This window comes from Homo sapiens, chromosome 4, assembly GCF_000001405.40.
Source record: "Homo sapiens chromosome 4, GRCh38.p14 Primary Assembly".
NCBI classification, from domain to species: Eukaryota; Metazoa; Chordata; class Mammalia; order Primates; family Hominidae; genus Homo; species Homo sapiens.
The window spans coordinates 36043158-36058263 of NC_000004.12; the positions used below are offsets into that span (position 1 = coordinate 36043158).

The 15106-nt window shown below is 35.0% G+C and overlaps 1 protein-coding gene across 11 annotated transcripts in view; it reads right to left on the bottom strand.

The window, feature by feature from the left end:
• ARAP2 (ArfGAP with RhoGAP domain, ankyrin repeat and PH domain 2) overlaps nucleotides 1-15106 on the bottom strand; it is a 239381-nt gene that overhangs the window by 37754 nt on the left and 186521 nt on the right. For 8 of the 11 annotated variants that reach the window (XR_007096351.1, XR_007096352.1, XR_007096350.1 and 5 more), the window contains 3 exons: nucleotides 14813-14986; nucleotides 3553-3692; nucleotides 2822-2919 (listed from right to left, as the gene is read on the bottom strand). Coding sequence is in view for 2 of the 11 variants with exons in the window: in XM_047449574.1 (XP_047305530.1) it covers nucleotides 14714-14986 (273 nt within the window). In the remaining 9 variants the exon portion in view is untranslated. Of the gene's footprint in view, nucleotides 1-2821; nucleotides 2920-3552; nucleotides 3693-6629; nucleotides 8897-11455; nucleotides 14987-15106 lie in introns of those variants that run through there. The other 3 variants (XM_047449575.1, XR_007096353.1, XM_047449574.1) reach the window with 3 other exon arrangements.

Below are 15106 nucleotides of genomic sequence, written 5' to 3' on the forward strand. Positions count from 1 at the left end.
TTATGTACTACCATGTGCAGACACCTATTTCTTCCTGGCTTTACAGTCTAATCATACCCATGGTTAAGTAGCTTTACCATGCTAACAAAGACATCCCTAGTTTTCCCCCAAATAAAATAATTGTAAGTTTGATCAGCTAATTTTCACTAATATGAAAAAACTGAAGAAAAACTCAGAGAACTGCATTTTTCTTCCCATACTTCACTTATGTAGTTTAACTAGGGTCTTCTGAAAATTGCCCTGTCTATGTCTCAACATTTAAACAGGAACTTTAGTCAAGATATCGGGGCAACATTCCCAGAAGTTTAGTTAGCCAACGGTGTTTGGACTTTGAGATTGCAAGTAACAGAAAACATTTTCTAAATTTATAACAAGAATGCACATAAATTTGCCAGAAGCTAAAGGCATACAGTTTGAAGATGAAGCAAATTGTCTAAAGCTGGGTACAATGACACGTGTCTGTTGCCTCCGCTATATAATTTCAGAAACTCAGAAGGCTATGTGAGGATCATGTAAACCCAGGAGTTCGAGGCTGTAGTGCCCTGTGATCGTGTTTGTGAAGAGCCACCTCACTCTGGGGCTGGGACATGTAGGAAGACCATGAGAAAGAAAAATAAAGAAAAGAAAGAAGAGAAGAGAAGGGAAGGGAAGGGAAGGGAAGGGAAGGGAAGGGGAGGGGAGGGGAGGGGGGAGGGGAGGGGGGAGGGGAAGGGAAGGGAAAAAGGGAAAGGAAAAAGGGAGAGGGAAAGAGAAAGAAAAAGAGAAAGAAAGAGAGAAAGAAGGAAAGAAAGAATTGAATTGTCTGAGATACGTATTTCAAGTAATTAGTGAATATATGATATTTGAGGTAATGCTTCTGGATGACATAACTCAGGAAATGCGCACCAGTATGGAAGAGAAGCACTCAGAGGAATAAGCAAATGAACATTTCGTGGTTTATGTTTACATTTATTTAGCATGTAGTGTCCCGTTTACCAAGTGAAAAAGGATGTGGAAAGAGTGATCATAAACCACCGATGTCAAAGGCCACTGAATAAATGAGTTATCCAAGGTATGAGAATTAGACAATTTATTTGGCAAACTAGAGGCCATTCATGATCTCGATTAGAAGTAGTTTGTTTCTTTGGTGGTGATGGGTCTGATTAGAGAAACTTCAAGAGAAAAATGGAAGTAAACAAGACACTGTAAAGAGGATTTTAAAAGTGGTTTGCTATTGAGATATTGGGAGGTAGCAGCAGTAGAATATGGTGTCAAGAGAGGGAGTTTGTGTTTTTCTGTCATTTCTTTTTTAGGTTAAGATGGAAGCTATTATAACATATTTGTATGCTGGTGATAATTGGCTATTCACTTGCTGAAACTGGACCTTTACCTCACCCCATATATAAGAATCAACTTAAAAGAGATTAAAAACTTAAGTATATGACCTGAAACTGTAGAGGAAAACATAGCAGAAAAGCTCCATGGCATTGGTCTGGGCAATGATTTCTTGGATAAAACCCCAAAAGCACAGGCAACAAAATAAAAATGGAACAGACAAATGAGACTAGATAAAACTAAAAAGGTTTTGTATAGCAAAGTAAACAATTAACAGGATGAAGAGACAATCTATAGAACAGGGGAAAATATTTTCAAATTATGCATCTGATAAGGGGATAAATTCAAAATATTTAACAAACTCAAACTACTCAATAACAAGGAAATAACCCTGCTAAAAAAAAAATGACCAAAGAACCTGAATAGACATTTCTCAAAAGAAGATATAGAAATGGCGAACAATAATATTAAAAAAAAGTGCTCAACATCACTAATCATCAGGGGAATACAAAGTAAAACCACAACAAGTTTTCAACTCATCATACCTGTTAGAATGGCTATCATAAAAAAGATGTGTTGGTGAGCGTGTAGAGGAAAGGAAACAATATATATTGCAGGTAGGTATGGAAATTAATACAGACATTGTGGAAAACAGTATGGAGTTTCCTTAAAAAACTATAAACAAAACTATCATGGTATCCAGCAATCCCAGTTCTGGGTATATATCCAAATAAATTGACATCAGTATGTTGAAGAGCTATCTGCACTCCCAAATTCATCACAGCATTATTCACAGTAGCCAAGCTATAGAAACAATTTAAATATCCATCAGTGGATAAGTGGGTAAAAAAACATGGTATATATTCACAATGGAATACCATTCAGCCTTTAAAAAGGAGGAAATTTTGTCCTTTACAACATCATGTATAATCTAGAGGGCATTATGCTCAGGGAAGTAACTTAGGCACAGATAGATAAGTACCATGTAATATTACTTACATGTGGAATATAAAAAAGTTGAATTCATAGAAATACAGAGTGGAATGGTGGTTATCAGAGGCTGGGGGGTTGGAAAGAATGAGGAAAGAGGAAATGTGAGACAAATGGTACAAAGTTTCAGTTAGGTAAGAAGAGTAAATTCTTCTAGTCATCAATTACACAGGATGGCAACTATAGGTCATAATAATGTATTGTATATTTCAAAATTGTTAAAAGAATCGATTTTAAATGTTCTCACCACAAGGAATGTATAAATATGTGAGGTGATAGATATGCTAATTAGACTGATTTGATCATTCTAAAACATATACATGCATCATAACATCACATTGTACCCCAAAAAGATATGCAATTATTGACAATGATCAAATTAAATAAATAAATAAATACAGAAAAAACTCAAAATGAATGGAAAATTTATAAAGTAAGAGAGGGGGATAAGAGGGGGACAATTGTCAGAGAAGTTTACCTATAAGGAAATTAAGATACAAAGCATTGAGAAACTTACCCATTTCCATAGCTGTTAAGTTTTAGAGCTTCAGTAAAATTTCAGAATGCCTCACTCCAGAGATTCCTTTGTTAATTTCTACTCTATGTTGTCTTTTCCTGAGTAGAGGAGGGAATAATTAACCAGGTCATTGTAAACTAGGCATATATTGCAAAATATATTCATTGTACCAGCCTATAGGTAAGTGAGCTCCTGACCAGTATTCTCTCTCTCTCTCTGTTTTGAGACAGGGTCTTGCTCTGTCACCCAGGCTGGAGTACAGTGGTGCAGTCACAGCTCACTGCAGCTCCACTTCCTGGACTGAAACAACAATACTCAGCCTCTTGAGTATCTGGGACTACAGGCTCATGCCACAATGGCTGGCTAATTTTGTTATTTATTGTTGTTTTTTGTACAGATAAGGTCTCACTATATTGTCCTGGCCAGTCTCAAGCTCCTGGGCTCAAGGAATCCTCCCACTTCAGTCTCCCAAAGTATTGGGATTACAGCTGTGAGCCACTGCACCTGGCCTATAGGTGCAGTGAGCCACTGCACCTGGCATATAGGAATTTTAATGGGCATAAAATTCCTATATGGATGTTAAAAAAAGTTCTAATGCAGACCACAGAAAGAATCTATTTTGAAGTGCTGTAGAAAATTAAAGGCTATCATCCCCAAAAGTTGTATGTAAGAGGAGCAGGCAGCAGAGCTAACCAGAGCCCTGGCCTACAAGCCTAAGCAAAAGCACTCACCCATCACAATAGGAAGGCAGAACAAGGAAACCAAGAAGTGTAAGCTTTTCTTTTCTTTTCTGTCCAGGCCAGAGTAGAGCAAGTTCACCAAGTTCAGCAAAATCTCCAAAACAGTGACAGTGAGACACATTGTTACCCACCTCATTAGGACAGGAAGATAACTTCATTAGATAGAAATATGTGAACAAAACATGTTTAAATCATATTACCATATACATAAATCTAAATACTAACAATTTTCCACTCTTGCCTGCATGGTCAAGAAGCATATATTCCGGGTGCCCACTCCTCTAGAGATCCCATCCATGTTTGCTGCACCTTCAGAATGTGAGTTCAGAGGCACATGCTGGGATATTATGCCTTACAGGTGATATAGATCTATAGGACATGACTTACGTTGTGCTATGTCTTCATCTTCTGCATACCAGGTTTCTCTGCACTGTGGCGTCTGCCCACCAGATTAGCAGGTGGAGACCAGGTTTTCAGCTGTCCTCCTACAGGACGCATATAAGCACACTCCAAACAAAAACAGCTTCCCAGTGCCTGAGCAACCAATGCAAGCTTTCACCAGGGGACAAAGTTATCTCCCATCCAAGAGAGTGTAGCACTTGAGAGAAGGTACAATTCATCTGAACATAATTGACACTTGAGAGGTCTAAACTCATTCTAGTGGCCATATAAGCTAACTGACTTTCCCGTCTTCATAATTTTGTCCATAATCTAAATTATAGGCCAATCTAATTATCTGGTCTTTTCAACACAACCATCCTGTTATGTAAAAATTTTAGATTCATGCTTTCTTTTATTGCTCACTTCTTTATTGAAGCAGCACTCATTTATTGTGCTATCAGAAACCCCAATTCTATGATAATTAACTCATTTATTCCTCAATATTCATTTTCCCCATTTGGCATAACTGAATTCAACTTATTCCTGAGGTTACCACTTCTTCATCCTTCTCAGGTGGACACTCCTTACTCTTTTGTGACTCACATATCTTAAGATCCAGATAGCAGCAACAACTAATATTTAACAAGTACATACTCCAATGCCTTTTAGGTTTATTATCTCTGAAATTTCATTAGTATTCTTATTAACACTTTTCAGATGAGAAAATTCAAGCACAGAGATCAAGTAAATTTTCCCAAAGCCACACAATTGAAAGATACAGAAACAAAAAGTTCAAAGAGCCTGAGTCTAATCCTGATATGCAGTCAGAATCTTCTTGCCAACATGCCCCTTCCTTTTATTCAGAATATATCTGAATATACATTACAGTGAAGATGGCACTGAGAACTCTGAATGCAATGGGAATCAGACATTGGATTCTTATGGATAGTGCTGTGTCTCCCTGGTAAGCACAACATATATGAAAGCAAATTTTAATTTAGAAGTTACTAAGTAAAATGTATGAGGAATAATGCTGCATATACCCAGTAAAAGATTAAAGTCCATTGATCAATTCACTATAAATGCACAGGTTTATTTCCGAACTCTTTATTATTTTTATTCTTCTTTTAAAAATAATTTCAACTTTTATTTTAGATTCAGGAGGTACATAAGCAGGTTTGTCACATGGGTGTATTGAATGATGCTGCAGTTTAGGTTATGAATTATCATCACCAAATAGGTAGTTTTTCAATATTTGCCTTCATGTCTTTCCTCCCTCTAGTAGTCCACAGTGTCTATTTTTCCCATCTTTATGTCTATGAGTACCAAAGGTTTAGCTCCCACTTATAAGTGAGAACATGTGGTATTTGGTCTTCTGTTCCTGTATTAATTTGCTTAGGATGATGATTTTGATGCATGTTGCTGCAAAGGACATGATTTCCTTCCTTTTATGGCTGCATAGTATTTCATGATATACATGAATCATATTTGCTTTATCCAAAACACCACTGATGGGAACCTAGGTTAATTCCATGTCTTTGCTATTGTGAATAGTGCTGCTATGGACATAACAGGTACATATGCCTTTTTGGTAGAATGATTTATATTTCTCTGGGTATATAGCCAGCAATGGGATTACTGGGTTGAATGGTACTTTTAAGTTTTTCGAGAAATATCCAAATGCTTTCCCTAGAGGTTCAATTAATTACATTAATTGAATTACATTCTCACTAGCAGTGTATAAGCATTCCCTTTTCTCTGCAGCCTCATCAACATCTGTCATTTTAAAAATACTTTTTAAGAATAGCAATTCTGACTGGTGTAAGATGGTATCTTGTTGTGGTTGTGATTTGCATGTTTTATTGGTCTTATATGTCTGTCTCTAACCGGTACCATACTGTGTTTATTACTGTAACTTCAGAATATATTTAGAAATCAGAAAGTGTGATGCCCCCAGCTTTGTTCTTCTTTCTCAGGATTGATTTACCTATTTGTGGCCTTTGTAGTTCCACATGAATTGTAGCATTGTTTTTATCTATTTCTGTAAAAAAAAAAGTCTTTGAGATTTTGATAGGAACATACTGTGTTTTTAAAAGTGATAAATTATTCTTAAGTTTAATTAAAGCTTAAGTTGACAAAAAATTTTTTCTGAATCTTTGGGAGAAAACTTCCTGTATAATTAAATGTTTGCTTTTCCAAAAAAAGAAATGTATTCAATCATTCTTTAAGAAAATTGGTCCTTTGGAGAAACACTCTTCCACAAAACTCTACAGCAGGTGGCAAAACTGTTCTCATTGTTCTAAATGTGGGCCTCCTAATTTGAGTCCCAAGTCTCATTGAAAATGACTGCCACAGGCATCTAAGGAGAGGCTATCTTTGCCTTTTATGACTATTTGATTTTCTTGAGGAATGACTAATTATTACAGACTTCCTGCAATTGATTTAATTATGTAGTTATTTTGTGATTCACAAATTCTGCTATTTCAAAATATGCTGTTTGCAAATTAATTCTTAAAATTTCAAAGCTTTGACTTTGTCTCATAGATTGGTATTCATCTCTAATTGAAATGAGATGAGTGAAGCCAATGCATAACCTAGTACACATTAAGAGTTAAATAATGTTAAAGAAAACTAAAAGGAAAAGAAAAACACTCCACCTAAAAAGGATTACAAAAAGCCAATAAACATGGAGTATAAGGCTTTATATTTCATTTCAGTGTAGACAGATACATGAGTATGTATCTTGACTTACTACAGAGTTTATCTTAAATTATTTTTCACAGTTACATTGCTCTTTGAATTAAACATGCATTATTAAAATAATCTTAATGGAGAGAAGACATTGTATTTAAAACGGTAATTTATTTTTGCGGTAATTAGTTTTTTACTTATTGATGTATTTGTTAACCCAGATTTGTTTAGTGTGGACTTTATGAAAGCTTCAATAGAAAGAGGTTTTTATAGTTGCATGATGACTGAAGACTTGGTTTTCATGCCTAGGAAGGAGTCTCTTAAACTTGGTTATGTATTGACAAGACTTTACCATATTTTAGAAGAATCTTACTTTAATAACTCTAACCACAACAGTGTAATTATCCAAATGCTTTGTATTCTAAATACATACAGCATGCTTTGGCAGAGAGCATCTGCAGCCAATGTCTAAGCAGTTATTTCAGCCAGAAAGTCAAAACCATATCATCTGAAACTCATGTCTGATATTGTTTTACCTTTAGGTTTAGCCAATTAGTATAAAATTAGTACAAAAGTAACTCTTGCAGCAGTTTTTTGGAATTCTCTCGCAAAATAAGGGTATTCCAAACTAAAGCACAAAAACCTAGAAAAACGTATTACACTGCAAAGCATGTCTCTGAATAAGAACAGAAGGATTTTCATGTGTGGCGTTGTTTCATCCTGGAATTCTCTTTTCATTCTAATCTAAGAAGCTGCTCTGTGAGCAGTTTTATTTAAATAAGTGTTTCAAGAAAGCATTGATTTTATTTAAGGCAGTATTGAAAACTTATTTTCTCCCTTGTACTTTTTTTCTAGAAGATCACACAAAAGTAGTTATTTATGCATTTCATTGCTCAAGTGGAATACCATAAAATGGGACGTATTTGAAATATAGGTACTTTCATACAACTGAGTACCCCCACAAAGTACTTGTTTGTTCAAATCTTCTAGCAATTTATTTTTATCTTCTAAGGAAATGCATTATGTTTCTTTTGATGTGATATTCCAGCGCTCTATTGCAGGAAGGACAAGTATTTGCCTAAGTCTTTTTGGTTTTTATGTCCATCACTGAAATCTGACTTACAAACATGAGTTATTTGTGGAAGTAACATTTGGTAAAGTAACATAATGAGTATTAACTTTTTAAATTCCTCCTGTAAAAATCAAAGAAATTTGTCTTCGCTTTTTCCATGTTTAAAAACTATCTCACGTATCATGAAGACTTCATATTATCATGAATTAATATTATAAGACATAAAATTCCTTTAGGGTTAATTTCATCACTAATGGTAGTAGGTATAATTTCAGCTAATCTTCTTACTAACTAGTTTTAGGTAAACTTTTGGTCAGATAACCTTGAGAACATCATTGTTTCAAATGCATAACAATGGGCCAGGCCCGGTGGCTCAAGCCTCTAATCCCAGCACTTTGGGAGGCTGAGGAGCTCGAGACAAGCCTGGCCAACATGGTGAAACCCCTTCTCTACTAAAAATACAAAAATTAGCTGGGAGTGGTGGCGGGCGCCTGTTGCCAGCTACTCGGGAGGCTGAGGCAGGAGAATCGCTTGAACCCGGGAGGCAGAGGTTACAATGAGTTGAAATCACACCATTGCACTCCAGCCTGGGCGACAGACCAAGACTCCATTTCAAAAATAAATAAATTAATAAATAATAACAATAATAATAATAAATAAATACATAAATACACACAAACATAACAAGGCTATGAAGTTCTCCAATTTTGTGGTCAGGAAGATAAATTGATTTTGTAATTTTCTCGTTGTTTTCTAATGTTTACATTATTTGTATTATCTCCATTCCACAGATTGTCTGTCTTTTATCCTTTCTTGCATACTCTTTTAGAAGTGTTTTAAACCAATTATCCTTCTTGCTTTAACTTAGTTAAAATTAGTGAATATTTATAAATCTACTTAAACGGTCAAGTATGAAACACAATATGGTACAATGAGCTTAACTATTAACTCTTCCACATTGTAAAGCACTCACTCTTTCTTCAGGCAATTCAAATGCTGTTTGTGACGTGTGACTGTTTGATAAAGACCAACAGAGCATGTCCTAGCCAATCTATATGTTAAATATTAATAAAGCTTTTTAAAAATAAAAAAATGCACATAGTATTTTTTATATGCTCTTCTGACACCTTTAACGAAACTAACCATTTTCTGGACCACTGCTCTAGCGCTTGCTGTTAGAACAGTTCATACCTGAAAAATAGAGCAAGTTAAATTAATGAACTATGAAAATTTTCTGAAAGTTAAATGTTGAACATCCAAGTAGAGTCATTAAACTTGTAAATAGAAATAACAAACAATAAAATGCGACATTTATTAGGAAAAATATACATATCAGTAATATGGTAATTTGAATAGGAATATAAAAGTAAAATTGCCAGGAAACACAAACATTAATAACTTTTAATTAGAACGCATTGGAAAGGAAGTAGGAATGAAAGAAGCAAGTTATTGAACTTATTCATAAAGAGCAAACCTAAATTTATTCTAAGTTGTTAGTGTTCACATAGTCTGCAGCAGTGGACAAATCAATGTTAATTGAGTTCTAAAGCAACGCATGCAGGAAACCGCTTTCAGTATTATGAACAGTAGCTACATACGAAAAGGCAGCTTTGAAATTAAATACAATTTAATTCAGTCCTGAATACTTTTATTGACATAAAAATTGCTAAGAGAATGAATAAATTATATGCACTTCTAATGCTGCGTTATTTTCTTTCAAACACTTTATTATGCAAATATTTGAACTTGCAGCAAATTTGAAAGAACTTTTTAATGAACACCCCAAAATTCACTACCCAGATCTACTATTAAAATTTTACGGCTGGGCTCGGAGGCTCACGCCTGTAATCCCAGCACTTTGGGAGGCCGAGGCGGGCGGATCACGAGGTCAGGAGATCCAGACCATCGTGGCTAGCACGGTGAAACCCCGTCTCTACTAAAAATACAAAAACAAAATGAGCCGGGCGTGGTGGCGGGTGCCTGTAATCCCAGCTACTCTGGAGGCTGAAGCTGGAGAATGGTGAGAACCAGGGAGGTGGAGCTTACAAGTGAGCCGAGATAGCACCATGAATTCATCTTATTTCTATCCATTTAATGCAAATTGCAAACATCTCAACAATTTCCCCTAAATACTTCAGCATGCAGGGTTTTTTTTGTTTGTTTTAGATGGAGTCTCATTTTGTTGCCCAGGCTGGAGTGCAGTGGCGCGTTCTTGGCTCACTGCAACCTCCGCCTCCCGGGTTCAAGCGATTCTCTGCCTCAGCCTCCTGAGTAGCTGGGGTTACAGGCGCCTGCCACCACGCCTGGATAATTTTTATATTTTTAGTAGAGAGTGGTTTTACCATCTTGGCCAGGCTGGTCTTGAACTTTTGACTTCGTGATCCACCCGCCTTGGCCTCCCAAAGTGTTGGAATTACAGGCATGAGCCACCGCGCCCGGCCCAGCATGCAGTTTTTTATAAAAAAAAAAAAATTTACATGAAATGAAATACACCTATCTTAAGTGTACATTCCTCAACTGTTGCTAAATACATGCACCTGTGTAGCCTAAACTTCTACCAAAATATAGAACATTACCATCCAAACCAGAAAGTTACTTTATTACCTTCCTAGGAAATCTCCACTCCTGCCCAAGATAACTACTGATGATGTTTTCCATCAAGATGCTGCACTTTTCTAAAAGTGATGAGCTACTAAGTATAAAGGAATTACTTGTATCTTCAACTCCTGGGCTTCTAGATTCCAAAGATATCAACAATGACACCTTTCTCATTAAAATAAAAATATTTCAAATTATCCTTGTAAAATATTTAAGCACCTTTAATGTAGTTGAGTAAAAATTGAAGAGTTTTTAAACTAAAAGGAATTTATTAAAATGGAGGCTGTGTTTACTCGGGGAGTGAATTAGGTAACTTCTAATCAAATCCCAGAGGGCCGGCAAGTTTATTCGCATTATGGATGAATAACAACCACATTTCTTGTTCTTCAAGTAGTTGATTATCTTACAAATTTAGATCCACTTATGAAATTGCTAAGTAGCTCAATACCAGCCGTGTAGTAGATACACAACAAATATTTTTAAATGGAATAAAAGAGTGAATGAGAACAAGAGAATGAATGCAAAGGGAACTGATGCTTGCTGTGTTTAGGGCATGTGACTAACAGAATGCTACATGCTTTCAATAATGGTGTTTTTCCATAAAACTATTCTGCAAATTAGGCATGCCTTTCACACCGTGAATGCTTCATACATCACTACAACCACTAAAATGCGCCACTATAACTGCTGGAATGTACAGGCCCTAACTAAGGAGTTTTTATCCCCAAGAACATCAGAGCAGCAATTGCATTAGTCATCTGCAGTAAGGTTAACTAACCTTTTTATACCCCCAAAGTTTTCTCTGTGTCTGGACCAGAGAGGAGCAGCTTAAAAGAGATTTTATAAATATACACCATTGGCATTTACTAATCTATTGCTCAATTATTCTAAAAATGGGAAAAATAGCAACTAATTTTTCTGGATCAGATAATTGGTAAGTAGAGAGACCTACAAAATCTCTGATAAGTGGGATACATACATTACTAGTGCTGCTTATTAAAGGTGATTCAATGATAATCTATTGGGGAAGTGAGATGAGAAATTAGTAACGATATGCACCTTCCAAAATCAAGCTGGAAAATGGATTTTAATTATAATTCAGGGAGACAAGAGCTTGACTTCCAGTATAAAATGATGTCTATATAGAACAAATGAGACTTTCCAATTTTTTTATTTAATTACCATGCACAAAATGGAAAAAGCAAACATAAAAGGCAAAATAAACAAATGAATACACAAAATAACATTAAACAAAAAATATTACATCATTACCACATACTACCAAATAAGCTTTTATCACAATCTGGAAATACTTTTCACTAAGTGTAAAGCTGATGACTACTCATATTACACAGTCATCAGAGAAATACTTTTTAAGTACTTTGTCCTAGGGCATAATAGAAGATCCCCTGATAGTCTGTAGTCTACTTTAAGGACATTTTATAATGATTGGTGATGGATTACAAATGAGGTCAGGAGTTTATTTCTTTTGCAGTAGTAATTTAAAATGTGTATTGCTAGGAATTCACTATTTAAGTTTAATGACTTTAAGTGATTGCAGGTTATGTCTTTTAAAATACGTAATAACCCTAAGGGTTTTGTCATTTGTACAGTCAACTGATATAAATGATTTAAACAGCTCTAGTATTTTGATTATATTGGATCTATGAGTGCATTTAAAATATTTTAAGTTTTTGAATCCCGAGACATAGGTACAACATCTGTCACTGAATGAGATTTAGCGTTTCCACTAAGGCCCTGATAGGAAACCTCAATCCTGTAATTTTGTAATATGGTTATAAAATCTTGGATAAGATCTGCTTTATTTGGAATGTGTCCATATTGTTCTTTGCCCGTGAATGCACACTGTTTATTTATTCATGAGATGGAGTAAAACAGAAAGTCATTGTGTTTTGGAAAATCATCCTCATAAGAACCATCGCATCTCTGGTAATTTGATTTAGCATGTCAAATGTTTGATTTCTAACTTGTTCTAAAATAGTTGTTATATGTCTAATTTCCTGATTCAACTCAGCAGTCTCATAGTGTGGGAAGTGACTGATTTAACCATTTAGTTTCAGGTACTTATTTTTATTTTTATTTTTATTTATTTATTTTTTTGAGATGGAGTCTCACTCTGTCGCCCAGGCTGGAGTGCAATGGCGTGATCTTGGCTCACCACAACCTCTGCCTCCTGGGTTCAACTGATTCTCCTACCTCAACCTCCCAAGGAGCTGGGATTACAGGCATGTACCACCATGACAAGCTAATTTTTGTATTTTTAGTAGAGACGGGGTTTCACCATGTTGGCCAGGATGGTCTTGAACTCCTGACCTCAGGTGACCAACCAGCCTTGGCCTCCCAAAGTGCTGGGATTACAGGCGTGAGCCACTGCGCCCAGCCAGTTTCAGGTACGTTTATAAGGTAATTTCACACTTTTATTTCAGAGTGGGCAAGAGTTGGTATTTAGTAATAATAATACATACATGATAGCACAAACCAGATAAATTCCTTGGGAGCAAAAGCTAAGTTCATCTAACAAAGAAGAAATATATTTCATTAAATGTTACTCTATTTTTATTAGGTACTTGAGTAGCTGGGCAGAAAATGATTAAGAAACATGGGATTAATACAAATGTACTCAAGTATATTGGCTACTTTCAATAGGTCCTGAACTATTTTCAATATAAAACTATAATAATACAAATTCTTTTATCAATGTAACCATTTGTATAAAGTATGTGGGGTATATACACTTGCACTAGGGCCAGAGCAAATTTATAGAGTTCAATTTGTACCATAGTAGGCACTTCCCTTGTCTGGAGTTCATCTTCTTACAGCATGAACGTGAAACCTGGACTGTGACCCTTGAAGCTTACCATTTTGTTGGAACTGTAAAGAGTTTATTTATTTAACTCCCTGGTGAAATGACCACTCCTTTACAAGCAATGTCTCTACCTGAAGTAATGTTTCCTGCCTTAAAGACAACTTTGTATTTTGTTAGTTTTGGGAAATCAGTTTTCTTTAGATTACTATCTGCAGAGTATATATCTTTTTCAAACTTTTACTTTCAACATATGTCTATATATTTTATGTGTGTCTCTGAGAACCAGAACATGTATAGGTTTTCTTGTCGTTTGCTTTTAATTGAAGTGCTTAGTTTTGTATGTAATTACTGATATATTTAGCCTTATATCTACCACCTTACTACTATTGTTTTCAGTGTGACCTGTTTTTGTCCCTTTTTCTTTTTTTCTACTTTGAATTACTAAAATATATTTTAGTTTTCCATTTTTCTTTTCTATAAGCATGAAAGTCATATGTTCTTTCACTTTTCTTTTAGCAGGTACCTCAGAAATTAAAGCACACATCCTTGACATTGTAACTAATACAAATAATTACATTCACTTCTTCCCTGACAATGCTTGCACATTTATTCACAAGACATTATATCATCATTTAGTACAGTCAATATTATGTTTACCTGATTTTTTTTTTTTACTTTCCTTTGCTCTTTAGTTTTACTGCATTTTGGCACTTCTACATAGGACCAATTTCTCTCTATCTAAAACATTATCTGTAGTTTTTTGTTGTTTTTTTTTTTCAGTGCAGCTTGACTGAGGAAATCTCTTTTTCCAAAGTAGCCTTTATTTTGCCATCTCTTTCAAGGAATATTTTAAGGGATATGGAATTCTAGTTGGCATATATTTTCATATAGCACTTTAATAATTGTAATTGTTTTTTTTTTGGCTTTCCTCTTTTATGGTGAGAGGCCACTGTCATTGTATTGTTATTACTCTAAGTTTGGGGTTTCGGTATTCTCTGGATGATTTTAAGAGTCCCTCAGTGACTTTTCCATTGTTTTATTACAATGTAATTTTGTGTAGGTTTTTTTTTTTAATTTACCTTGCTTAGAGTTCGGCTAACATATTGAATCTATTGGTATAAATAACATATCCATTTAAAAAAACTGTTGGTCATTTTCTCCTCCAATATTGCCTCCTCCCAATTTTCTAGATAACACATTATATATATGTTTGACATTTTAACAGTGTCTCACATACTTCTTTTATCTACATATTTTTTTCTGTGTGTTCATTTTGGATATATTTGATTTTTTTTACTAACCTGTCTCCAATTCACTAACCGTTGGTGCATGTCAATTATGCTATAAAACCCATTTGTTTTTAACTTTAGTTACTATGTTTTTAACTTCTAAAATTTTTATTTGATTTTTTAAAATTCCAATTCTCTGACAGAATTATCCAATATTTTCTGTATTTTTTGTCTATTTTCTTGTTAATATTAATATCAATCATTGCTGTTATTTAGTCCTTCTTTGGTAATTCTAACAGCTTGATCATTTGGGGATTTCTTTCTATTGTCTATATTTTCATCTTAGCATTTTGGTCAAAGGGTCAATTGTCTTGAATTTTTTTCCTTTTTCTTCATTTTTAAATGCCAGAAATTGAAAAAAAAAAAAATAGAGAAGTTCCATAGAGGATTTACCTTTCCATCTTCTGGCAAAGAGGAGGCTGATGATCCTGATCCAATGGGACTGAGCTGAATTGAGGTTGTGGGCAGTTTTGATGATGTTCTGTCAAGATTCCAATTCATACCTGCTCCAACCATATGGCTTCCCGAGGCTTCCAAATGAGAGCTTGTATGCTCACAAGGGTCTCTCTGCATGATAGTAAATACAATTGAATTTTTGTATGCTTAGTATCATGAGACTACAAACAACTCCACCGCACTATTAGGGATTTTCTGCTAAGCTTATTAGCTTACTGTTATACGTGGCAT